This window comes from Homo sapiens, chromosome 17, assembly GCF_000001405.40.
Source record: "Homo sapiens chromosome 17, GRCh38.p14 Primary Assembly".
In the NCBI taxonomy this organism is placed as follows: domain Eukaryota; kingdom Metazoa; phylum Chordata; class Mammalia; order Primates; family Hominidae; genus Homo; species Homo sapiens.
The window spans coordinates 29,447,954-29,475,477 of NC_000017.11; the positions used below are offsets into that span (position 1 = coordinate 29,447,954).

At 39.9% G+C, this 27,524-nt stretch overlaps 1 protein-coding gene across 2 annotated transcripts in view, besides 1 other annotated feature; it reads left to right on the plus strand.

Annotated features, from left to right (window-relative positions):
- The window catches only part of TAOK1 (TAO kinase 1), a 161,541-nt gene that overhangs the window by 57,591 nt on the left and 76,426 nt on the right, over positions 1–27,524 (plus strand). For both annotated transcript variants that reach the window (NM_020791.4, NM_025142.1), the window contains exons 2-3: positions 3,502–3,727; positions 19,192–19,263. In NM_020791.4, coding sequence (NP_065842.1) covers positions 3,596–3,727; positions 19,192–19,263 — 204 coding nt within the window. In that variant the 5' untranslated portion in view covers positions 3,502–3,595. The remainder of the gene's footprint in view (positions 1–3,501; positions 3,728–19,191; positions 19,264–27,524) is intronic.
- Positions 7,469–7,518: an enhancer, noted in NCBI's record as "active region_11978". NCBI's record gives its function as "activates an Ori minimal core promoter by ATAC-STARR-seq in GM12878 lymphoblastoid cells {active_cell/tissue: GM12878}" and the evidence as "EXISTENCE:reporter gene assay evidence [ECO:0000049][PMID:35858748]".

The window sequence follows — 27,524 nt, forward strand, 5'->3', positions numbered from 1 at the left end:
TCTTTTTTTTTTTTTTTTTTTTTTTAATTCTTACAGATGTACTTCCTGCTTTCATACCGAGTTTATCTTTTTTTTTATTATTTTTGGTATCTTTTACTGTGTTCCTCTCAAGCTTTCTTTTTTATATTGTCAAATATGTTTTTTTCTTACTGCTTTGCATGTAGATCATAGATAAGTTTCTTCACACTGGTTACAAAGAAATTTACTCATATTTCCTCCCAGTACTCGTATAGTTTCTTTTTTTTATATTTGTGTATCTGATCCCTATGTAATTCTGATGTTCGGTTTGAGGAAAAGGTATAATTTTTCTCTCACATGGCTATTAGGCGCTCTCAAAAACACATTTTTATCAAATCAATCTTTTTCCCATTGATTTGAGATGCCTTTTTTAGCCATTTAGCAGTAATGTTTATGGTAAGATATGTGATAGGCATATAACTTTTTTTCCAAATGGATTGTCAAGTTTTCTCAACCTTTATTTCTTCTCCTTTAACTGTGTGTGTTAAATTCCAAGATAGACATACATGGGTTTGTTTCTGGGTCTTTTAGGTTATTAATTTCCTTGTCTTTTTGTTTTAGTATTTTACTCTTGTGATGGTGATAGTATTGTGTTGTCCTTTGGTCTTTGGTAGAACAAGTATTTCAATTCCCTAATTATCTCTTGTCTCTCTGAATTTCTGGAAGTTGCTATTCTGCATTTTCTCTGTTCTTAACAACTTTAAAGTTTTTGTATATCATAGTCTTATGCATACTGTTTGTTCTGTAAGTATTTGTGGAAGTGAAATCATTTTTAGGAGTTACATAGAAGATAATTAAGTATATTGTTTTATTCAGCAATATTTATATAATAACTGTAGATGGTAAGGGGTAGAAGCTGGAGAGATGATACAAAAATGAATGAGACACATTGTGCCTGCTTGTTTAGGAAAGAGAGAGTTAAATAATTGCAATATAATACGGTAAATGCGGCAGGATGCTTTGGGGGCATAAAGGGAGAGTAACTGACTTTTCTAATAGAGTTAAGGTTTTGCAAACATTATGACATTTAATCTAAATCTTGAAAGACTTTGAGTGGGAATTTGTTAGGTAGATAAGAAAGAAGATGCCGATCATGGACCCAGCTAGAAAATTTTAATGTAAAATAATTCTTGTAATAAGGGCACTAAAACTTAATCATTCAAAATTCTTAACTACGGTCTTAAGTAACACTGAAGTTTGTTTTTTTAATAGTTTGATTAATTGAAAATTAATACTTTATATGGAATTTAGTTCAGCCTACTCAGTTTAGGGATGAGAAGTTAAGTGACTTTGCTATGGTCACATATTCTTGGAAGAACTGTGATTAAGACTGCTCCAGGGAACTTCTAGAACAGGGAAATTGGTAAAAGTATATGGGGCAGCCTTGGATATATATTAGAAATTGAATACAAATTAAGAATTTATATATTTTTATTGCAGTGTGGTGTTAATTTAGGGGGGTACAAAAGACATATAAATGTATTTTATATAGTTACAAAGAAGTTTTCTAGCAAGAATTAAAATTGCTTGTTACTTGACAAGAATTGGATGGAGCTGTTTTTTTCTCTTAAAAGTCTGATGAAATCAGGCCAGGTGTGGTGGCTTATGCCTGTAATCCCAGCACTTTGGGAGGCTGAGGCAGGCAGATCACTTGAGGTCAGGAGTTCGAGACCAGCCTGGCCAACATGGTGAATCCCCATCTCTACTAAAAATACAAAAATTAGCCGGGGGCGGTGGTGCGTGCCTGTAGTCCCAGCTACTTGGGAGGCTGAGGCAGGAGAATTGCTTGAACCTGGGAGATGGGTGTTGCAGTGAGCTGAGATTGTGCCATTGCACTCCAGCCTGGGTGACAGAGTGAGACTCTGTCTCAAAAAAGGAAAAAATAAAGCCTGATGAAATCAATTTTGGAGTTTTTAAAAATTGTTGAATTTGAACAAGTTAAAAGAAAATAGCTAACACTTACTGTAGTGCTTATTACTCCAGAGTATTACTCTATGCTTTCATTTATTAACTCATTTAACCCTCCTGATTACACTGTGAAGTAGATTTTTTCCTCCTTCCTTCCTTTCCCTTTTCTTTTCTTTCCTTTCCTTTTTATTTCCTTTTTCCTTTCCTTTCCTTTCTTTCATCTAACAAACAGGGTCTCTCTCTCTTGCCCAGGCTGGAATGCCATGGGGTGATCATCACTCACTGTAACCTCGAACCTCTGGGCACAAGTGATCCTCCCACCTCAGTCTCCCAAGTAGCTAGGACTATAGGAGCACACCACACCACCCAGCTAATTTTGTAATTTTTTTGTATTGGAAGATCTTGCTGTGTTGTCTGAGCTGGTCTCAAGCTCCTGGCCGCAAGTGATCCTTGCACTTTGACCTCTCAAAATGCTTGGATTACAGATGTGAACTTTCACACCTGGCCTATAGTCATTTTACAGATTAGGAAAATGATACTACCTAATTTCAGAACTAGTGTTGCTGGGATTCCTATCCAGCAGTGTCATTCCAGAGTCCAGGTTCCAAAGCCTCTTAATTATGACATCCAGTTTTGTTTTGTTTTGTTTTGAGACAGGATCTCACCCTGTTGCCCAGGCTGGAGTGCGGTGGTGTGATCATAGCTCACTGCAACCTTGACCTCCTGAACTCCAGTGATCCTTCCGCCTTAGCCGCCAAAGTAGCCAGGACTATAAGTGCATGACACCACTCTTGGCTAATTTTTTAAATTTATTTTTGTAGAGGCAGGGTCTTACCATATTACCCAGGCTGGTCATGAACTCCTGGTCTCAAGCGATCCTCCTGCCTTGACCTCCCAAAGAGCTGGGATTACAGGCATGAGCCACTGAGTCTGGCTATGACAGCCAGTATTAAAACTGGGTAATCTGATATAAAGGAATTGATAGGACAACTGCCAGGAAGTTTTCTGGTTATCTGTATTTCTACTTATTTAATGAAACAGTTGATAAAGGGCATATTTTAATGTGAATCAGGTGAATCAAGTTTATGGAGAAACAGTTGTCTGTGAAATACATTACTTTCTCCCACTATATTTTTCTTTGAATGTCTGTTAGAGTTGATTAGTACACTAGCATACGGTATCTGAAAAGAAAAGAAGTTTCCTGTTGTCAGAAATACTGTGGGCACATCTTGCGTTATTGTGTATTTTTAAAATAGTCTCTTTTATATTATCTTCTCTATTGATGAGATGACTGCATCAGAAGTGGATACATTTTTAAGTATTGACTTAGAAAACCTCCCAAGATACAAAGATTATCTCATTTTTTTAAAGTGCTGTATAGTAGGAATCTGTTTTTGAAGTACCATGGTGTTCATGATGATGAAACAGGTTTAGGAGCTACTGCAGTAGTACCCACACTGCCTTTTCAGTGAAATTCTAGACATGAGATAAATTTGTAGATCAGTATATGACCTTATACTAATTATTCTTAGCAGTTTTTGCCTTTTCTGACTTTTTTTTTCTATTTTTCTACAGTAGTTTATGCCAACGTGACTTCATTCATACAGATGAACCAAGGATCGGGATAGCAGTATAAAATTAGAATCAAGACAGCTGACTGCTCAGCAGGATGCCATCAACTAACAGAGCAGGCAGCCTGAAGGACCCTGAAATTGCAGAGCTCTTCTTCAAAGAAGATCCAGAGAAGCTCTTCACAGATCTCAGAGAAATTGGCCATGGAAGCTTTGGAGCAGTGTATTTTGTAAGTGTTAGTGGCTTGATGTCAGTGACTAAAATTTACTTAATGTCCACTCCTGACAGAGCAAAATATAGTAATGAAAAGAGATATAGGCCATAGTCATTTTATAGTCACTTGCATAGGGGGAAGAGAGAGAGCGCGAGAGCGAGAGCGTGGGTGAGTGTGTGTGTCTGTGTGTAAAATTCAAATATGAAAATAGTTTTATTTATTGAACTTCTTGGATTATTGAAAAAATGAGAAAGAATATTATTTTGTGGGCCAGGCTTGGTGGCTCACGCCTGTAATCCTAGCACTTTGGGAGGCAAGGTTGGGTGGATTGCTTGAGTCCAGCAGTTTGAGACCACCCTGGGCAACATGGTGAAACCCTGCCTCTACAAAAAATACAAAACTTAGCCCGGTGTGGTGGTGCACACCTGTAGTTCCAGGTACTCAGGAGGCTGAGGCCAGAGAATCACCTGAGCCCAAGAGGCAGAGGTTGCAGTGAGCCGAGATTGTACCACTGCATTTCAGCCTGGGCAACAGAGCAGATCCTGTCACAAAAAATAAATAAATAAATAAATAAATAAATAAACAAATGAAAGAAAGAAAAAGAAAAAAATTTGCTTTAACTTATGTGTTACTTTTTTAGAATTCTTAGCACACCTTTTTTATAAGTCTCATGGCTTGCATTGCTATAGAGTTAAATACTGCAGAACACAGACTTCCACTGATTTCTACTTCTGTAAAGTCCCATTCAGAGTCAATCTTAGTCTTGTGGAGGTCTAGGATTATTATTTGACAGATATACCAAAGTCTGTTTCTTTTATATGCATTTGTGTGTGCGTGTGAATTAAAAAAACTTATCAAATTTGCTGTTTTAATTATTTTTTAACATTTGCACAAACATTACCACCATCTACTTCTAAAACATTTTCATCACCTGAAATAGAAACTCTATATCCACTGACAGTAACTCCCATTTCACCCTCCACCCAGCCCCTGGTACCTGTAATCTCCCTTGGTCTCGATGAATTTGCTTAGATATTTCTAGATATTCATAGAAATGGAGTCAAACAATATTTATTCTTTTGTTTCTAGCTTATATTATTTAACTGATTGTTTTTGAGCTTCATCCATATTGCAGTATCTGTGAGAACTTCATTCTTCTTTATAGCTGAATAATATTCCATTGTATATTAAACCATAATTTGTTTATCTATACATCTGTTGATGAACACATGGGTTGTTTCCACTTTTGACTATTGTGAATGATGCTGCCATGAACATTGATGTGTATCTGGTTGAGTCCCTGTTTTCAATTTTGAGTATGTACCTAGGAGTGGATTTGCAGGTTCCTATAGTATTCTGTGTTTGTTTGTGGGACTGCCTAACTGCACCACAGCAGCTGCACCAGTCTTTGTTCTATGTCTATGGATTTGCCTATTCTGGATACTTCATAAAAAAGAAATCGTACAATATTTGACCTTTAGTTTCTGGCTTACTTTTTTTTTTTTTTTTTTTGAGATGGAGTCTCGCTCTATTGCCCAGGCTGGAGTGCAATGGCACGATCTCGGCTCACTGCAAGCTCCGCCTCCCGGGTTCATGCCATTCTCCTGCCTCAGCCTCCCGAGTAGCTGGGACTACAGGCGCCCACCACCACGCCCGGCTAATTTTTTGTATTTTTAGTAGAGACAGCGTTTCACCGTGTTAGCCAAGATGGTCTCGATCTCCTATAGGCACGTGCTACTAACCCCTGGCTAATTTTTGTCTTTTAAGTAGAGACGGGGTTTTGCCATGTTGGCCAGGCTGGTCTCAAACTCCTGACCTCAAGTGATCCTCTTGCCTTAGCCTCCTGAAGTGTTGGGATTACAGGTGTGAGCCACCACACCTGGCCTATTTTGAGTTAGATTTTTTGTTTTGTTTTGTTTTTGTTGTTTTGAGACAGAGCGTCGCTCTGTTGCCCAGGCTGGAGTGCAGTGGTGCGTTCTCAGCTCACTGCAACCTCCGCCTCCCGGGTTCAAGCAATTCTCCTGCCTCAACCTCTCGAGTAGCTGGGATTACAGGTGCATGCCACCATGTCTAGCTATATTTTGAGTTAGTTTTTATATATGGTGTGAGGTAGAGGTCTAACTTCATTCACTTAGGTTTTTTTGTTTTTTTTTTTTTTGAGACAGGGTCTCTCACTCTGTTGCCCAGGCTGGAGTGCAGCAGAGTCATCATGGCTCACTACGTCCTCAGCCTCCGTGGGCTCAGGTGTTCCTCCCACCTCAGCCTCCAGAATAGCTGGGACCACAAGCGTGCACCACCAGGCCCAGCTAATTTTTTTGCTTTTTTTTTTTTTTGGAAATGGGGTTTTGCTATGTTGCCCAGGCTGGTGTTGAACTCCTGGGCACAAGCAGTCCACCCACCTTGGCCTCACAAAAGTGCTGAGATTATAGGTGTGAGCCACCACACCTGGCCCCAACTTCATTCTTTTGTGTGGGTAAATCTAGTTTTCCCAGTACATCTGTTAAAGAGACTGTTATTTCCCCCATTGAATTGTCTTGGCATCCTTGTCAAATCAGTTGATCATATTTCATAGATTAATTTCTGATCTCTTAATTCTATTCCATTTATCTGTATGTCTATCTTTATGTCAGTACCACACCGTTTTGATGACTGTAGCTTTGTGGTAAGTTTGAGATCAAGAGGTTTTATTCCTCCAACTTTGTTATTCTTCTTAAGGTTTGTTTCAGAGCTCCTTGAAATTTCATATGAATTTGAGGATTGGCTTTTTTTTTTCTTATTACCACTTTCCAGTTGACGTGGCTTTTTTATTTCTGCAAAAAAAGACTTAGAATTTTGATAGGGATTGTGTTGACTCTATAGATCACTTTTGGTAGATCTATAGATCACTGTCTTAATAATATTAAGTCTTCTGATCCATGAACACAGAATGTCTTTCTAAACATTTATTTATAGCTTTAATTTCCTTGAGCATTATTTTGCATTTAGTTGCAAATGTTTCACCTCCATGCAACATATTCTTAGGTTTTTTTGTTTTTTTGTTTTTTTTTTGTTTTTGAGACGGAGTCTCACCCTGTCACCCAGGTTAGAGTGCAGTGGTGCGATCTCGGCTCACTGCAGCCTCGGCCTCCTGGGTTCAAATGATTCTCCTGCCTCAGCCTCTCAAGTAGCTGGGACTACAGGAGCATGCCACCATGCCCAGCTAATTTTTTGTATTTTTAGTAGAGACGGGGTTTCACTGTGTTAGCCAGGATGGTATTTTTTGTTTTTTGTTGAGACAGTCTTGCTTTGTCACCCAGGCTGGAGTACAGTGGCACGATCTTTGCTCACTGCAACCTTTGCCTCCCAGGTGATTCTCCTGCCTCAGTCTCCTAAGTTGCTGGGATTACAGGTACACACCACCACACTTGGCTAATTTTTGTATTTTTAGTAGAGACAGGGTTTCACCATGTTGGCCAGGCTGGTCTTGAACTCCTGACCTCAAGTGATCTGCCTGCCTCAGCCTCCCAAAGTGCTGGGATTACAGGTGTGAGCCACTGCATCTGGTCATTCCTACGTATTTTATTCTTTTAGATGCTAGTGTAAGTGGAATTACTTTCTTAATTCCGTGTGAAATTGTTCATTGCTGATGTATAGAAACATAGCTGTTTTTTGTATCTTCATCTTGTACCCTACAACTCTGCTGAGTTTGTATGTTCTAGTATCTTTCTGTTGGATTCTTTGAAATTTCTACGTACAGTATTATATCATTTGCAAATGGAGATGGTTTTACTTCTTTCTTTTCAACTTGAATGGCTTTCGTTTTTCCTGTCTTGATACCCTGGGCTAGAACTTCCAGTACAGTGTTGAACAGCCGTGGTGAAAGTGAGCATGTTGTCTTGTTCCTGATAGTAGTGAGAAAGCCTTTTCAGCCTTTTACTATTGAGTATGGTGTTAGCACTGGGTTTTTAATAAATACCCTTTATCATGTTGAAGAAGTTCCCTTTATTCCTGTTTTTTTGAGTGTTTTTATCATGAAAGTATTGGATTCTGTCAAATGCCTTTTCTGCATCAAGCTGGATCATGTGTTTTTTTTTTCCTTCATTTTATTAATGTGGTATATCAAATTGATTGATTTTGTTAGTTTAAATCACCCTTACATGTCTGTGATAAATCAAACTTCATCACGGTTTGTAATTCTTTTAATATGCTCTAGGTTTCTGTTTGCTAGTATGGTGTTGGGAATTTTTCATTCCACATTTGTAAGAGATGCTGGTCTGTAGTTTTCTTGTGATGTCTTTATCTAGTGTTGGCATCAGGGTAATACTGGCTTCATAGGGTGAGTTAGGAAGTGTTCCCTTCTTTTCTATTTTTTGATAGAGTTTGTGAAGGATTGGTATTAGTCTTCTTTAAATGTTTGGTAGGGCCGGGCGCGGTGGCTCATGCCTGTAATCCCAGCACTTTGGGAGGCCAAGGCAGGCAGATCACCTGAGGTCAGGGGTTCGAGACCAGCCTGGACAACATGTCAAAACCCCGTCTCTACTAAAAATACAAAAATAAGTTGAGTGTGGTGGTGCATGCCTGTAGTCCCAGCTACTCGGGGAACTGAGGCATGAGAATCGCTTGAACCCGTCCATGAGGTGGAGGTTGCAGTGAGCCAAGATCATGCCACTGCACTCCAGCCTGGGGGATAGAGCGAGACTCTGTCTCCGGGAAAAAAAAAATGTTTGGTAGAATTTCCTAGGGAAGCCATTTGGTTCTGAAGTTTTCTTTCTTGGGAGGTTTTTGATTACAGATTCAATCTCTTTACTTATGATAGGTCTGTTGAGATTTTCGATTTTCTTGAGTTAGTTTAGTTTGTAAGTTTCTAGGAATTTGTCTATTACAGGTTGAGCATCCCAAATCTGAAAATCCAATGCTTGTTGGAGCATTTCAGATTTTGGATTTTCAGACTGGGGATACCCAGCCAGTAAGTGTAATGCAAATATTCCAAAATGTGAAAAAATTTGAAATCTGAAACACTTCTGGTCCCAAGCATTTTGCACAAGGTATACTCAACCTATAATGTTCTCATATAGTTCTATTTCTTTTTTTGTTTTGTTTTGTTTTTAAAACGGAGTCTCGCTCTGTCGCCTAGGCTGGAGTGCAGTGGTGTGATCTCAGCTCACTGCAAGTTCTGCCTCCCGGGTTCACTCCATTCTCCTGCGTCAGCCCCCCAAGTAGCTGGGACTACAGGCGCCTGTCACCACGCCTGGCTAATTTTCTGTATTTTTAATAGAGACGGGGTTCCACTGTGTTAGCCAGGATGGTCTCGATCTCCTGGTCTTGTGATCCGCCTTCCTCGGCCTCCCAAAGTGCTGGGATTACAGGCGTGAGCCACAGCATCTGGCCATATAGTTCTATTTCTGTAACGTTCTCCCATTCTTTTCTTCTCTTTTTTTCTTTTTCTTTTTTTTTTTTTTTTTTTTTTGAGACAGAGTCTCACTCTGTCTCTGTCTCCCAGGCTGCAGTGCGGTGGCATGATCCTGGCTCACTGCAACCTCTGCCTCCTGGGTTCAAGCACCCCTCCCACCTCAGCCTTCCAAGTAGATGGGAATATACAGGTGCATGCCACCATACCTGGCTAATTTTTGTATTTTTTGGTTGAGATGGGGTTTCACCATGTTGGCCAGGCTGGTCTTGAACTCCTGACCTCAGGTGATCCGCCCGCCTCGGCCTCCCACAGTGCTGGGATTACAGGCGTGAGCCACCACCCCAGGCCTTTTTTTTTTTTTTTTTTTTTGAGATGGAGTGTGGCTCTGTAACCTAGGCTGGAGTGCAATGGCGTGATCTCGGCTCACTGCAACCTCCACATCCTGGATTCAAGTGATTCTCCCACCTCAGCCTCCTGAGTAGCTAAGATTACAGGTGCGCACCACCATGCCCGGCTAATTTTTGTATTTTTAGTAGAGACGGGGTTTCACCATGTTGGCCAGGCTGGTCTTGAACTCCTAACCTCAAGCGATCCACCCATCTCGGCCTCCCAAAGTGCTGGGATTACAGGCGTGAGCCACTGCACCTTGCCTGAGTTTACTGATTTAAGTGCCATCCAAACAATGCCTTCGCAGAAACATATAAATAGTGTTTGACTAAAGATCTGGGTACCATGGCCTAGCCCAGTTGACAGATAAAATTAACCATAACAAAAGGCCAGGCACGGTGGCTCACGCGTGTAATCTCAGCACTTTGGGAGGCCGAGGCAGGCAGATCAGGAGGTCAGGAGATCGAGACCATCCTGGCTAACACGGTGAAACTCCATCTCTACTAAAAATACAAAAAATTAGCCGGGTGTGGTGGCGGACGCCTGTAGTCCCAGCTACTTGGGAGGCTAAGGCAGGAGAACGGCGTGAACCCGGGAGGTGGAGCTTGCAGTGAGCCGAGATTGCGCCACTGGGCTCCAGCCTGGGCGACAGAGTGAGACTCCATCTTGAAAAAAAAAAAATTAACCATAACACTGTTATATGATTACTCCACAGTTTGTTTCTCCATTCTTTTGTTGGCAGAAAGCTTTACTGTTTACGGTTTCTGGCTATTATGAATAAAGTTGCTGTGAACAATTCATGCACAGTTATTTTTTATGGATGTTTTGATTTCAGTAAATATCAAGGATGGGGTTATTGAGTCATCAGGCAAGCTTATGTTAGTTTTATAATCAATTCCCAGATGTTTTTATCAAGAGGGAGAAATTTTACAGTCCCATCAGCAGTGTATGAGAATTTGGTTTGCTCTTTATCGTCTCCAACATTTGGTATTGACAGTCATTTTAATTTGCATTCTGGTGGGTGTGTAGTAGTATTTCAATATGGTTTTTTTTGTTTTGTTTTGTTTTTGTTTTGAGACGAAGTCTCGCTCTCTTACCCAGGCTGGAGTGCAATGGCACAATCTTGTCACACTGCAACCTCTGCCTCTGGGTTCAAGTGATACTCGTGTCTCAGCCTCCCCAGTAGCTGGAATTACAGACATGCGCCACCACACCTGATTAGTTTTTTGTATTTCTATTTTTTGTTTATTTATTTTATTTGTTTTTTTTGTGAGACAGAGTCTCACTCTTTTGCCCAGGCTGGAATGCAGTATTGCAATCTCGCCCCACTGCAACCTCTGCCTCCTGGGTTCAAGCAATTCTCCTGCCTCAGCCTGCCGAGTAGCTGGGATTATAGGCGTGCGCCACCACGCCCAGGTAATTTTATTTTATTTTTATTTTTTATTTTTTTGTATTTTTAGTAGAGACAGGATTTTACCATGTTGGCCAGGCTGGTCTTGAATTCCTGACCTCAAGAGATCCACCCGCCTTGGCCTCCCAACGTGCTGAGATTATAGGCATGAGCCACTTTGCCCAGCCTAATTTTTGTATTTTTACTAGAGATGGGGTTTCACCATGTTGGCCGGTTACTTAAGGAGAATTTGTAGATTTTTGAGCTTCTGCTTTTCAGCTTCCTTTTCTGAGATTGTGCTTTTGTTAGCTTCTGACTCTGGCTTCTGTCTCCTCAGCCTGGCTTTCTTCTTGGACTCTGTTTTCCTTTCACAAGTTCAGAGATGAAGCTGGGGTAAATTTGGAGTTCATTTTGCATACTGTTGTTTTTTTCAAGGATTGTAGTCTCTAAAGTTATGCCTGCATTTGTTGCTCTCTGGTAATTTTATATAATTGTTTTACATATATTGCCTGCTTTGTCAGCTCACTGCAAACACCGCCTGCTGGGTTCAAGTGATTCTCCTATCTCAGCCTCCCGAGTAGCTGAGATTACAGGCGCCCGCCCCCACGCCCGGCTGTTTGTTTTTTTTTATTTTTAGTAGAAACGGGATTTCACCATGTTGGCCAGGCTGGTCTCGAACTCCTGACCTCAAGTGATCCACCTGCCTCAGCCTCCCAGTTACAGGCATGAGTCACCACACCCGGCCTCATTCTTTTTTTATGGCCGAATAGTACTTCATTGTATAAATGTACCACATTTTCTTTATCTATTTGTCTGTTGGTGGACACTTACATTGTTTCCAGCTCTTGGCTGTTGTGAATAGTGCTGCAATAAACATGAGAGTGCAGATATCTCTTTGATAATACTAATTTCCTTTATGTTGGGCATATACCTAATAGTTGGATTGCTGGATGATATGGTAGCTCTATTTCTAGTGTTTTGGAGAACCTCCATCCAAACTCTTCTTCATAGTGGTTGTGCTAATTTACATTCCCAACAGTGTACAGGGGTTCCCTTTTCTCCACATCCTCACTAGTCATATTATTTGTACTTACCTGGGCTTTTCATATATCCTTCTGTAAAGATGTGGTGTTTTGGAGCAGTGGGTCTTTCATTGTTATATTGGAAAGTTTTGAATTTCAGCAGGTTTTCCTCAGACCTCTTTAGGCCTGCCTATATGATCTACAAAGTGGTGAAAGTAATGTTTCTTGCCCTTTTCCTTTTATTAAAGAGACAAAGACCCATCTTGGCAAAATATCAATGATTTAACTTTTTCAAAATAAAACTATAAAATTGCATTATCCCAATTCTAGAACTTTGTCAGTAGTCTTTTTTTTCTGAGACGGAGTCTCGCTCTGTCACCCAGACTAGAGTGCAGTGGCACGATCTCAGTTCACTGTAACCTTCACCTCCCGGGTTCATGCAATTCTTCTGGCTCAGGCTCCTGAGTAGCTAGGATTACAGGCATTTGCCAGCACACCTGGCTAATTTTTGTATTTTTAGTAGAGACCGGGTTTCACCATGTTGGCCAGGCTGGTCTCGAACTCCTGACCTCATGATCCACCCGCCTCGGCCTCCCAAAGTTCTGGGATTACAGGCATGAGCCACCACACCCGGCCTGTCAGTAGTCTTTTTTGACAAGTATGACTGAAGTTGGTATGCCTAGGATCAAGGGTATAGTGGGAACTAAAGATGTAATGGGAGAAAAGAAAGATAATCAAGGGCTCTTGAAATACCTGCTACATTACCCTAAGAAATATGGGCTTTATTCTGAAGTCTTCAGGGAACCACTGAAGTACAACAGAAATATTTTATTTCCATTTGTGAAGTAAAGTTTACTCTTGTATTAATGTAGAGGAAAGGTTGGCATGTATCAGAGATCGAAGCAGAGAGACTGATTAGGATGCTTTTATAATAATTTAGGAAAGAAATGCAGAGAGCTTAGTTAGTAGCAGTGAGAGTGGAGAGGTAAGTAAACAGTTGAGAATGAAAGTTTTAATCAGTAGAATAAAGAGCATTTATATTCTGATAAGATAAAGGGCGCATGTGGTAGTGTCTCACTCCTAGAGTAGAATTATTAAAGAGAGTGAGAGGAAGTGATTCTCTGTTGTTTGCACCTCCTTATGTAATAATTGCTAAGATTCTTCTACCCAAACTGGATTATTTCAGAGAGCTGTAGTTGAAGGTCTCATAGTCTCAGAAATAAGATTCTAACGAGAAAACAAAAACAAATTGTTCTAAGTCAGATATCTGGAGCTGGTTTAGGAGAGACTCGGAAATTAGGCATAATGTGTGATCCTGGATTAGAAAAAAAAAGCCTGTAAAGAGCATTACTCAAACGTTGGTGAAATTTGAGTGCGTACTATGTATGCATCTGGATAATGATATTATATCAGTGCTGAATTTTCTACATACGGTAATTGTACTTTGGTTATTCATGAGAATGTTCTTGTTCTTAGGAGATACATGAAGAAGTGTTTTAGGACTAAGGATCAGAATATTCTCTAATGGCTCTTTAATTATAAAATAATGATAACAAAAGGTATATTTAGATAGAAAATCTCAAAGGAAATGTGGCAAAATGTTAACCAAGAATTTTTCTATAGACAGGGCCAACAAACCTCAGCCCTGACACCAAATCCAACCTGTGATGTGTTTTTGTTCAGCTCCTAAACTAAGGACAGTTTTAACATTAAATAAAGAAGAATATGCAACATAGATTGTATGCGGCCCACAGAGCCTGAAATTTCTACTACTTGCCTTTTGGAGAAAAACTTTGCTCACTTCTGATCTAAAGGAAGGCATAAGAAGGGTTCACTGTGCTGTGCCAACTTTGTCATATGTTTGACAGATTTGTGTAATGAAATGTAGAGAGCGAAATTTTTTTTTTTTTTAATGCTGATTTAGGGGGCCAGGAAACTCTCCAATTCAGGTTAGGACCATCCCAGAAACAATTGAATGAAAGCACAGAGGAGTCAAGGTTAATTAACTCAAAGCAGGTTTTTTCTGTTATGTTTATTGATGTGTGGGAAACATGAACATGTAGATGAGGAAAGTTTGAATGTAGTCCAGAATTGAATCTTTTTGCTGCAATTCTATTTCTGGGTCACTAATCTTCATATTTTGTGGTATCAGAGAAACCCATGCACACACTGTTCTGTTGTTACATTTCCTCTCATCCCCACTCCATGACAGGATGAAATGTGCAGTGTTTGTTTATAGACTATCTAAAGGAAGGACCCTCTGGTCAAATTTTTTTAGGTGGCTAAAAATAGCTCTTTAACACACTTCTGAATTTTAATTAATTGGCAGGGATCACCTTAAATTAAAAAATACTCAAATTGAGTCAGCCAGCATGGCTGTTTCATCAGGCAAGCTAATCAAGGACTGGTACCGTAGTGAGTATTTGAAACTAAACCAGAGTCAGATGTCCAAAAGGATCACTGTCTCTAGATTACCAGGAAGATAAACATAATCTTTTAGTTTCCAACACCTTAAATAGAACCAATGTGATGTCAGTAGATGGGTCACACAATAAGAAATATAATATAAAAGCCAAAGAGAACACTGGCTTGGGAACCAGGCAGCTTGCTAACAAATATGGTAGACCATGTATGGTCCCAGCAAAATCATTTATTTACTTTCTAACAAAGTGGGGTTTTGTTCATTTCTTGAAACGGGATGTAATATTTACCTCTTGTTTCCTAGTATAAGATTTTACTAATCTGTGCTCCCTTAGCAGGTTTGCAAGTTTTATATTTTCAGTGATTACAGTAAATTGTTTGGTGTTGTTCACATTAGTCTCATAAGACCATTTATATATAATTAATTGATGTAGTGATTTCAGATCATTCTTATGAATTTATTAAAATAGATCCCAAATGTATCTTCACAGACAATTTCCTAGTTTGAAACAAAATTATTTATTGTGTGTATTTTCTTTTTCCTACTCTCTCTGACTATTTCTGTTCCCGTTTTTCTCTCAACAGCATCTAGTTTGTCTTTAGGACTACAACTTATTTTGTTTTTGCTCTTTTTCTCTCTGGAGGTGAGAATAGATGATGTGTAGTATTGTGTTCTTTGTTAGTTACTTATAGTTCATTTGGTTCTGTTCTACACAGTGTTTTATTATGTAAACAAACACTTTTGCAAGCTTTTCTTACTGTTACTTTCTACTAGAACATTCCATCTTTTTTTCAAGTTCATTTGTTAATATTCTATCATGTCAAGTAAAATGTAGAAATTATTTATCCCTTTCCATATTCTTTATGCTATTCTTGTCATATGTATTGTATCTACATATATTATAAACATATAATACAATGCCATAATTTTTGTTTTAGGTAATTTTTTGCTTTGTAAATGCAAAATAATGAAATTGGACTGCTGCCTCATACTATATACAAAAATTAACCCAGGCCAGGCACGGTGGGTCATGCCTGTAATCCCAGCACTTTGGGAGGCCAAGGCGGGCAGATCACCCAAGGTCAGGAGTTTGAGACCAGCCTGGCCAACGTGGCGAAACCCCATCTTTACTGAAAATAAAAAAAATTAGCCGGGCATGGTGGCATGTGCTTGTAATCCCAGCTACTCCGGGGGCTGAGGCAAGAGAATCACTTGAACCCGGGAGGTGGAGGTTGCAGTGAGCCGAGATTGCGCCACCGCACTCCAGCCTGGGTGACAGAGCAAGACTCCATCTCAAAAAAAAAAAAAAATTAACTCAAAATAGATGAGAGACGTAAGTTTAACAGTTAAAACTATAATACTCTTAGAAGAAAATGTAGGGATAAATCTGCATAACATTTGTTTTGGCAAAGCCTTCTTAGATGGGACATTAAAAGTGTGAACAACAACAACAGGATAAATTGGACTTCTTCAAGATTAAAAACTTTCCTGCTTCAAAGCAGTGAAAAGACAACAGGAGAAAATATTTGCAAATGATATATCTGACAAGGGACCTGGGTCTTGAATATATGAAGAACTCTTACAACTCAATAATAAAAAGACACTCAATTTTAAAAATAGGCAAAGGACCTTGAATCAAGATTTCTTCAAAGAAAATATGCAAATGGCCAAGAAACACATGAAAAGATCCTCAACCTCATTAGTCATGAATTTTGACATTATGCTAAATGAAAGAAGTCAATTACAAAAGACCACATATATGATTACATTTGTATGAAATGTCCAGAATGGGCAAATCTCTAGGGACAGAAAGTAAATTACTGCTTAGGTCTGGGAGGTAGGTAAGGAGACAGGAGACTGATAGCTAAAGAGTTTATGGGCCAGGCGCGGTGGCTCACGCCTGTAATCCCAGCACTATGGGAGGCCAAGACAGATGGATCATGAGGTCAGGAGATCGAGACCATCCTGGCTAACACGATGAAACCCCGTCTCTACTAAAAAAAAAAAAATACAAAAAAATTAGCTGGGCGTGGTGGCGGGCACCTGTAGTCCCAGCTACTCAGGAGGCTGAGGCAGGAGAATGGCATGAACCTGGGAGGCAGAGTTTGCAGTGAGCCAAGATCGCAGCGCTGCACTCCAGCCTGGACTACTAAGCGAGACTCCATCTCAAAAAAAAAAAAAAAGAAAAAAAAAATGTTCTGTAATTGACCGTTCTAATGGTTGCACATATCTGCTAATGTACTAAAGGCCATTGAATTGTGTACATTAAAATGGGTAAATTATATGGTATATGAATTATTTCTCAATAAAGCTGTTATATGACCTTTTAGTCCTATTAATCAAAATCAGGGGGCTCACAGGTAGGTGAGTAGAGAACATTTTGGAAAAAGAAATTCATATCTAACAAGACTTATGTGGCTAGATCTACTTCACCCTTTACAGTGAATGGTACAGGTTTCCACTAACCAATCCACTGGCAGTTGAAATTAAAATGTCCTTAGTTCTTCACTGTACTCATGTAGCAGAACACAGATAATAAGCTCTGTCTTTTTTTTTTTTTTTTTTTTGATACAGGGTCTCTGTTGCTCAGGCTGGAGTGCAGTAGCGCAATCTCAACTCACTGCAACCTCTGCCTTCTGGGTTCAAGCGATTCTTGTGCCTCAACCTCCCGAGTAGCTGGGACGACAGACATGTGCCACTATGCCTGGCTAATTTTTATATTTTTGGTAGAGACGGGGTTTCACCAAGTTGGCCAGGCTGGTCTTGAACTCCTGACCTCAAGTGATCCACCCGCCTCGGCCTCCCAAAGTGCTGGGATTATAGGCATAAGCCACCATGCCTGGTCTTATTTAATTTTTTTTTTTTTTTTTTTTTTTTTTTTTGAGATGGACTCTCACTCTGTTGCCCAGGCTGGACTGCAATGGCTCAAGTGCAATGGCATGATCTCGGCTCACTGCAACCTCTGCCTGCCATGTTCAAGCGATTCTCCTGCCTCAGCCTCCTGAGTAGCTGGGATTACAGACGTGCGCCACCACACCTGGCTGTTTTGTATTTTTAGTAGAGACGGGGTTTCACCATGTTGGTCAGGCTGGTCTCGGACTCCTGACCTCGCAATCCGCGCGTCTCTGCCTCCCAGAGTGCTGGGATTACAGGTGTGAGTCACCGCGCCTGGCCCTTACTTAATTTTTTAAAGCAACCTTTATTGAGGTATAATTTTACAGGTGCTGTCCTTTTTTTAAAAAAAAAGTTTTTTGAGGTATAATTTACATACCAGAGGTCTACCAGTTTTAAGTGTACAGTTCAATTATTTTTAGTAGATACAAGTTTTGTAGCCATCACTACAATCCAGTTTTAGAACATTTTGTCTTTGGGAATTCATTAGAGCCTGAATTGAAAACGAGTTCTTGCACAGATGGTTTGAGATGGTTTCTAACCCTTTTATTAAACTCATTTTAAATATTTCACAGCTATTGCCTTGTACTTTCTTAATAGTTATTTTTTTTGTGTGTATAGTGGGAGTTTCGCTCTTGTTTTCTAAGAGTTAACTGTCAAGTTTCTGTGCTTTTTTTTTTTTTTTTTTTTTTTTTTTCAGATTTTCCACAACAGTATTAAATAATCATCATGACAGCATTTTAAGGAGTCTGGTCTTGATCCTGATTAGCAGTTGTTTTCAATAGACAGCATATGTTGAGGAATTACCTTGCTAATTTTGTTTTTCTAAGAGTTTGGCCTTCTCTACAATTGAATACATTTAGCGTTAGGCCTGTCTCACATTTTCAGCATTTATTGAGAGTTTATATATATTTTTCCCCTTGACTTTTAAAAGATGTGGTGAATTATGAAATGTTTTTCTAGTTTCAAAATCTTTTGCATTCCTGTGTGTTTTGTTTTTTGAGACAGAGTTGCTGTCCAGGCTGGAGTGCAGTGGCACGGTCATGGCTCACTGCAGTCTCCGACTCCCAGTTTCAAGCGATTCTCCTGTCTCAGCCTCCCAAGTAGCTGGGATTACAGGCGTGCACCACTACACCTGGCTGATTTTTATATTTTTAGTAGAGATAGATTTTCACCATGTTGGCCAGGCTGATCTCGAACTGCTGACCTGAGGTGATCCACCCGCTTCACCCTCCCAAAGTGCTGCGATTACAGGTGTGAGCCACCACGCCCAGCCTGTAATAGTATATTTTATCCAAAGGAAAAATCTTTTAATGCCCTGTAAAATTTGGTTTGCTAATTTTAGAGTTTTCCCATCTATATTCACAAATGCAATTGGTACCTAACTTTCAATTTTGTACTCTTTATGAGGTTTCAGTTATAGGGTTAAACTGCCTTTGTAAAATTAATGGGATAGCTCTTCTATTTTTCTCTTATATATTCTGGAAAGTTCCTTTGGTAAAACTGTTTTTCACTGAAGACTATGTTAAAGATCATTCATTGGTATTCTTTTCAATCTGCCATCATTGTTTTACTCATGTTATTGTCTTTAGGTCAGTTTTAGTAATTTATTCTTTCTTAAAAAGTTGTCTGTTTCATTGAGATTTCAAACTTTATTAGCATAGACTTTTATACACTTGTATTGCATTGTCTCTTTGTTTATAGTACTACTCAAATTTCTGTATTTTTCTTCTCAGATTACTCAAAGGTTTATTTTCTTATTTTTTTACTTTGCTTTATTTTCTTTTTAAAGCACTAGCTCCAGGATAATTTTATAAGTATTGCTGTATAGTGTTATTTTTAAAATTTTCTTTAAAAGTGGTTTTGATGTCCTTTTTGACATGGTAGTTTACAAATGCTTTTATATTCGCAAAGAAATAGTTGCCTAGATTTCACCTGTTAATTTTTACAGTGCTTCTTTCTTTCTTTCTTCTTTAGGCACGAGATGTGCGTACCAATGAAGTGGTGGCCATCAAGAAAATGTCTTATAGTGGAAAGCAGTCTACTGAGGTAGGTTAAATATGTACATTCTTGTTTTTTTCTTATATTTATCTCAGAATAAATATATACATTCTTTTTTTTTTTGAGACTGAGTCTCCCTCTGTAGCCCAGGCTGGAGTGTAGTGGTGCAATCTTGGCTCACTGCAAGCTCCGCCTCCCAAGTTCACGCCATTCTCCTGCCTCAGCCTCCCGAGTAGCTGGGACTACAGGCACCCGCCACCACGCCCAGCTAATTTTTTGTATTTTTAGTAGAGATGGGTTTCACCGTGTTAGCCAGGATGGTCTTGATCTCCTGACCTCGTGATCTGCCCGCCTTGGCCTCCCAAAGTGCTGGGATTACAGGCGTGAGCCACCGCGCCCGGCCAATATATACATTCTTATTGGTATGTTAGAGGAAGACATAATTTTTAACTGGGGAGGAAGGGTGGGAATTTTTTAAGTGTTAACAGGTGAAGTATACACATCTTAAGTGTATATCTCAATGAATTTATTTTCACAAACCGATGTACCCATTTAACTCTAATAGTACTGAGAGCCATAAACAGAGCATTATTGGTATCTCCAAATCCCCCCTACTCTTGCTTCCTGCTTTTATTTTTATTTATTTATTTATTTATTTATTTTTATTTTTTTTTAGATAGAGTCTCGCTCTGTCACCTAAGCTGGAATGCAGTGGCACAATCTTGGCTCACTGCAACCTTCGCCACCTCTCAGGTTCAAGCAGTTCCCCTGCTTCAGCCTCCAGAGTATCTGGGATTACAGTTGTGCGCCACCACACCTGGCTAATTTTTGTATTTTTAGTAGAGACAGGGTGTCTCCATGTTGGCCAGGCTGGTCTCAAACTCCTGACTTCAGGTGATCCACCTGCCTTGGCCTCCCAAAATGCTGGGATTACAGGTGTGAACCACTGTGCTTGGCCTGCTTTCAATTTTTTTTTTTTTTTTTAGGAGCTGGAGTCTCACTCTGCTGCCCAGGCTGGAGTGCAGTGGTGCGATCTCAGCTCACTGCAACCTCTGCCTCCTGGGTTTTAGCAATTCTCCTGCTTCAGCCTCCTGAGTAGCTGGGACTACAGGTGCATGCCACCATGCCAGGCTAATTTTTTGTATTTTAGTAGAGACAGGGTTTCACCATGTTGGCCAGACTGTTCTCGAACTCCTGACCTCAGGCAATCTGCCTGCCTCGGCCTCCCAAAGTGCTTGGATTGTAGGCGTAAGCCACCGCTCCCAGCCTTAATTTTTTAAACTGTCATTTTAAATATTCTCTGTTTATCTTGGAAAGATTATCAGTTTCTAAAAAATTAAAGTAAAATAAGATGTACTTGACAGTAAATTATACTGGATATGATCTTTTTTTTTTTTGAGACAGAGCATCTCTCTGTCCACCAGGCTGGAGTGCAGTGGCGCGATCTTGGCTCACTGTAACCTCCACCTCCCAGGTTCAAGTAATTCTCCTGCCTCAGCCTCCCAAGTAGCTGGGATTACAGGCGCCTGCCACCACACCTGGCAAATATTTTGTATCTTTAGTAGAGGTGGGATTTCACCACGTTGGCCAGGCTGGTCTTGAACTTCTGACCTCAAGCAATCCACCTGCCTTGGCCTCCCAAAGTACTGAGATTACAGGCGTGAGCCACCGCACCTAGCCTGTGATCTTTAAAATGGTTTAAACATTGTTTAATGCCTGTTTTAAACAAACTTTAATCAACATGAATGTATATCTAGTCTGAGAAACGAGCAATGTATAACAATTTGAAAAATTAGAAAATGAAATTATTAATGCTACATTGAATGTACTTTAGTTCACTAATATTCTAATTAGTTCTCTTCAGATTATATTCTACCTAATTTCATAAATTTATTTATGAAATGTAGTCTGCTTTTAAAAATCTGCAATTCTGCCTGGCACTGTGGTTCACACCTGTAATCCCAGCACTTTGGGAGGCCGAGGTGGGTGGATCATTTTGAGCCCAGGAGTTCGAGACCACCCTGGGGAACATAGTGAGATCCCCCCTCCCCCGCCCCATCTCAGTCAAAAAATAAAATATTTATAAATGAAAAAAGAAAAACTCTAGAATTCTCTTTAATCTTTAAATTTTTTAAAATTATTTTTAATTGTGGTAAAATACAACATAAAATTTGCCATTTTAACTATTTTCAATTCCACATTTCAGTGGAATTAAGTGCATTCACGTTGTGCAACCATTATCACCATGCGTCTCTAGAATTCTTTTTATCTTGCAACATTAAAACTCTGTAGTCATTAAGCAATAATTCCCCAGCCTCTTGCAACCACCAGTCTACTTTCTGTCTCCATAAATTTGACTAGGTACTTAATATAAGTGGAATCATTTGGGATTTGTCTGTTTGTGACTAGCTTATATCACGTAACCTAATATCCCCAAAGTTCATCCATGTTGTAGTTATGTCAGAATTTCCTTCCTTTTTAAGTCTGAAAAATATTCCATTGGGTGTATGTATATCTACATATGTATCTATATCTGTCTGTTTCAGAGTCTGATTAGTCACACCTAGAACAAAAATTTTCATTTACCACATCATCTTTTAATATCTAATGTTGGCGTCCTTCATGAAAATTTTTTTATGTTAAGGAATACATTTTTTTGAGTCTGCCTTCCAGATTATTCAAATTTGAAACTTAAAGACCATAGAACAGATTTTCTGGATTTAGCATTTTATAATGTATCTTCCACATTTTACACAAAACACCGGAACATATTTTGCTGTGTTCTGTTAAGGCCTTGTGAAATAACATAGGAGGTATATGATCTTAAATCTAGTATACAACATTTCTTATTCTATTTATACTGCTTCCCTTGCCATTAAGAATATAGCCCAAATCAGTGATAAAACTTAAAATAATTAAAAAGAGCAAAAACAGATTTCTAGTCCTCCTCTCACACCTCCTAAATCTGTGGAATTTCTGGGTATGGACCAAAGGATCTGTATTTTTAGAGTTCTTGGGTTGCTTCTTAAGAGTAACTATGTTTAGGATGTGGCCTAAGTATTTAAGGTTGTCATGAAGTAGCTTAAGACCAAAGGTTTAACTGTATTTCCTGATAGGTATAGGTATTAGTGAATAAGGCTCTTAGTAAACTATGTAGGAAAAGATTTTTGTACTGCTTGGTTTTTTTCTGTGAACTTTTATATATAATAGCTAATTATTCACTAGCATTTTAGAGTCTGCATTTAGGAACTTAAATCTCAGAGGAATTACTTCATTTGAGTTAAACCCTAACATTTGGTAATAGAAATGAGCCAAAAACACAACAGGTGAACTTTATGGTATATAAATTATATATCAATAAAACTGTATTAAAAAAAAGAAAGGTTGGACTTTTGAAGAAAAATCACTGAATATGGTATATAGTTATCAACATGATTGGTGTATGGTTGTAAAATTTTAATGAGTCATTAATGATAAATTTTATCAAACTCAAATTTGTCTTACCTACCTTGAGTGAAATAATTTTGTAAATTATATAATTGAGTTGTAAACTATAGGCATGACTTGGAGATATTGTGGGTTTTGTTCTCAACCACTACAATAAAGCAAATATCATAATAAAGCAAGTCACATGAATTTTTTGGTGCCCAGTGCATATGAAAATTATGTCTAGGCCTGGCACAGTGGCTTACGCCTGTAATCCCAGCACTTTGGAAGGCCGAGGCAGGCGGATCACTTGAGGTCAGGAGTTTGAGACCAGCCTGGCCAATGTGGTGGAAAACCCTGTCTCTACTAAAAATACAAAAATTAGCCAGGCATGGTTGCAGGTGCCTGTAATTCCAAGGTACTTGGGAGGCTGAGGCAGGATAATCACTTGAACCCAGGAGGAAGAGGTACAAGAATCACTTGAACCCAGGAGGCGAAGGCTGCAGTGAGTCAAGATTGTGCCACTGCACTCCAGCCTGGACAACAACACAAGACTTCATCTAAAAAATATATATATATATATGTCCATGCTATACTGTAGTACCGTAGTCCATTAAGTGTGCAATAACATTTTGTCTAAAAAAGACAGTGTACGTACCTTAATTTTAAAATATTTTCTTTCTTTTTTTTTTTTTTTTTTTTTTGAGATGAAGTCTCACTCTGTCGCCAGGCTGGAGTGCAGTGGCGCAATCTTGGTTCACTGCGACCTTCGCCTCCCGGGTTCAAGTGATTCTCCTGCTTGCCTCCCGAGTAGCTGGGACTACAGGTGCCCGCTACCACGCCTGGCTAATTTTTTGTATTTTTAGTAGAGACGGGGTTTCATCATCTTGGCCAGGATGGTCTCGATCTCTTGACCTCGTGATCCCCCCACCTCGGCCTCCCAAAGTGCTGGAATTACAGGCGTGAGCCACCGCGCCCAGCTTAAAATATTTTATTTCTAAAAAAAAGTTAATGATAATTTGAGCCTTCAGCATGTCATACTATTTTTGCTGGTTGAGAATCTTGCTTCCATGTTGATGGCTTCTGACTGATCAGGGTAGTGGTTGCTGAAGGTTAAGGTGGCTGTGGCAATTTCTTAAAATCTGACAACAGTGAAGTTTGCCCATCAGTTTTCTCTTTCACAAAAGATTTCTCTGTAGAATGCAATGATGTTTGACAGCATTTTACCCATGATAAAACTTTCAAAATTGGAGTCCATCCTCTGTAACTCTGTTACTGCTTTATCAACTAAGTTTATGTAATATTCAGAAATTACTTTCTTTGCCCATCTATTACAAATAGTTTCTCATCCACTCAAGTTTTATCATGAAATTGCAGCAGTGTAGTCACATCTTCAGGCTCCATGTGTAATTCCAGTTTTCCTGCTGTTTCCACCACATCTGCAATTATTTCCTCCACTGAAATATTGAACCCCCCAAAGTCATCCATGAGGGTTGGAATCCACTTATTGCAAACTCCTGATAATGTTGCTAATTTGCCCTCCCATGAGTCGGAAACGTTCTTAATGGCATCTAGAATGAATTATTTCCAGAAGATTCTCAATTTACTTTGCCCATATCCATCAGACAAATTGCTGTCTATGGCAGCTATAGCCGTTGTGTGTTTTTTTTTTTTTTGAGATGGAGTTCATTCTTGTCGCCCAGGCTGGAGTGCAATGGCATGATCTCGGCTCACTGCAACCTCTGCCTCCCGGGTTCAAGCGATTCTCCTGCCTCAGCCTCTCGAGTAACTGAGATTATAGGCCTGCATCCCCATGCCTGGCTGATTTTTGTATTATTAGTAGAGACAGGGTTTTGCCATGTTGGCCAGGCTGGTCTCGAACTCCTGACCTCAGGTGATCCACCTGCCTCGGCCTCCCAAAGTGTTGGGATTACAGGCGTGAACCACCATGCCCAGCTGCTATAGCCTTTCTTTCTTTCTTTTTTTTTTTTTTTTTGAGATGGAGTTTCGCTCTTGTTGCCCAGGCTGGGGTGCAATGGCACTATCTCGGCTCACCGCAACCTCCGCCCCGCTGGGTTCAAGTGATTCTCCTGCCTCAGCCTCCCAAGTAGCTGGGATTACAGTCATGCACCACCACGCCCGGCTCATTTTGTATTTTTTTAGTAGAGACAGGGTTTCTCCATGTCGGTCAGGCTAGTCCTGAACTCCCGACCTCAGGTGATCCGCCCGCCTCGGCCTCCCAAAGTGCTGGGATTACAGGCGTGAGCCACTGTGCCCTGCTGGCCTTTCTTAAATAATAAGGCTTGGAACTCAAAATTATTCCTTGATCCATGGGCTGCAGAATGGATGGTGTATTAGCAGGAATAAAAACAACATAAATCTCCTTTTATATCTCTATCAGAGTTCTTGGGTGGCTAGGTACACGGGCAAAGACCAGTAATATTTTGAAAGGAATCTTTCTGAGCAGTAAATCTCAACCGTGGCCTTAAAATATTCACTAAACCATGCTTAAATGGATGTACTGTCATCCAGGCTTTGTTGTTTCATTGAACAAGCACAGGCAGAGTAGGAGTTTTGGAATGGTAAATGTGCATTGACTTCAACTTAAAATCACAAGCTGCATTAGCCCCTAACAAGAGAGTCAGCCTGTCCTTTGAAGCTTTGAAACCAGGCATTTCATAGTTGCTCTGTAGCCATGAAAGTCCTAGATGGTATCTTCTTCCAATATAAGGCTATTTCATCTACACTGAAGATCTGTTGACTGGGCATGGTGGCTCACACCTGTAATCTCAGCACTTTGGGAGGCCAAGGTAGGTGGATCACTTGAGGCCAGGAGTTCGAGACCAGCTTGGCCAACATGGTGAAACCCCGTCTCTGCTGAAAATAGAAAAATTACCCAGATGTGGTGGCAGGAGGAATGCTTGAACCCAGGAGGCAGAAGTTGTAGTGAGCCAAGATCATGCCACTGCACTCCAGTGTGGATGGCAGAGTGAAACTCTCAAAAAAAAAAAAAAAAAATCTGTTGCGTAATGTAGCCACCTTCATCAATGACACATTGGCTAGATCTTCTGGATAACTTGCATGTAGCCTCTACATCAGTACTTGCTGCTTCACCTTGCACTTTTCTTTCTTTCTTTTTCTTTTTTTTTTGAGACAGAGTCTCTCTCTGTTGCCCAGGCTAGAGTGCAGTGGCACTATCTTGGCTCACTGCAGCCTCCGCCTCCTGGGTTCAAACGATTCTCCTTCCTCTGCGTTTCCTCCCTAGTAGCTAGGACTACAGGCACGCATCACCACACCTGGCTAATTTTTGTGTGTTTAGTGGAGATGGGGTTTCACCTTGTTGGCCAGGCTGGTCTTGAACTCCTGACCTCAAGTGATCTGTCCGCCTTGGTCTCCCAAAATGCTGGGATTGATTATAGGAGTGAGCTACCGTGCCGGCCTACCTTGCATTTTTATTTTACGGAGATAATTTCTTTCCTTAAACCTGATGAAGCAACCTCTACTAGCTTCCAACTTTTCTTCTTCAGCTTTCTCACCTCTCTCAGCCTTTGTAGAGTTAAAGAGAGTTAGGGCCATCCTCTAGATTAGACTTTGTTTTACGGGAATGTTGTCGCTGATTTGATTTTCTATCCAGACCATTAAAGCTTTCTTCACATCAACAATAAACTTGTTTTACCTTCTTATCATTCATATATTCACTGGAGTAGCACTTTAAATTTTCTTCAATAACTTTTTCTTTGCATTTACAACTTGGCTATTTGGTGCAAAAGGCCTAGCTTCAAAGCCTGTCTCAGCTTTTGACATGCCTTTCTCACTAAGCTTAATCACTTGTAAGTTTTGAATTGAAGTGACAGATGTGTGAGTATTCCGTTCACTTGAACACTTAGGGGTCACTGTGGGGTTATTGATGGCCTAATTTCAACATTATTGTGTCTCAGAGAATAGGGAGGCCCAAGGAAAGGGAGACAGACTGGGGAATGGCTGGCTGGTGGAACTGTGAGAATACATGTTTATTGATTAAATTCACCATCTTATATGGGCACAGTTCATGGCTCCCCAAAACAATTACAATAGTAATGTAAACAATTACTGATCACAGATCACCATAACAGATATAATAATAATGATGAAAAAGTTTCAAATATTGTGAGAGTTACCAAAAGGTGACACAAAGACATCAAGTGAGCCCATGCTATTGGAAAAATGGTGCTGGTAGACTTGCTTTGACACAGGATTGCTACAAACCTTCAATTTGTTTTAAAAAAAAAAAAGTAACATCTGTGAAGTACAATAAAGCAAAGTGCTGTAAATTGAGATATGCCTGTATATGAATGTTATTTATTTATTTATTTGTTTTATTTTTGAGACCGAGTTTCGCTCTGTCACCAGGCTGGAGTGCAGTGTGGCTCGATCTCGGCTCACTGCAACCTCCACCTCCCGTGTTCAAGCTATTCTCCTGCCTCAGCCTCCCGAGTACCTGGGACTATAGGTGCACACCACCACGCCCAGCTAATTTTTGTATTTTTAGTAGAGACACGGTTTCACCATGTTGGCCAGGATGGTCTCAATCTCCTGACCTTGTGATCCACCTGCTTCAGCCTCCCAAAGTGCTGGGATTACAGGCGTGAGCCACTGTACCTGGCTGAATATAATTTATTTAAACTTTTTAATTTTGACATTTTATCTAAAAATGACCATATTTTGGGAGGCCAAGACAAGTGAATCACTTGAGGTCAGGAGTTTGAGACCAGTCTGAGCAATGCAGTGAAACCCCATCTGTACAAAAAATAGAAAAATTAGATGAGCATGGTGGTGTGCGCCTGTAGACCCAAATACTTGGGAGGCTGAGGTGGGAGGATCACTTGAGCCCACAAGATGGAGGT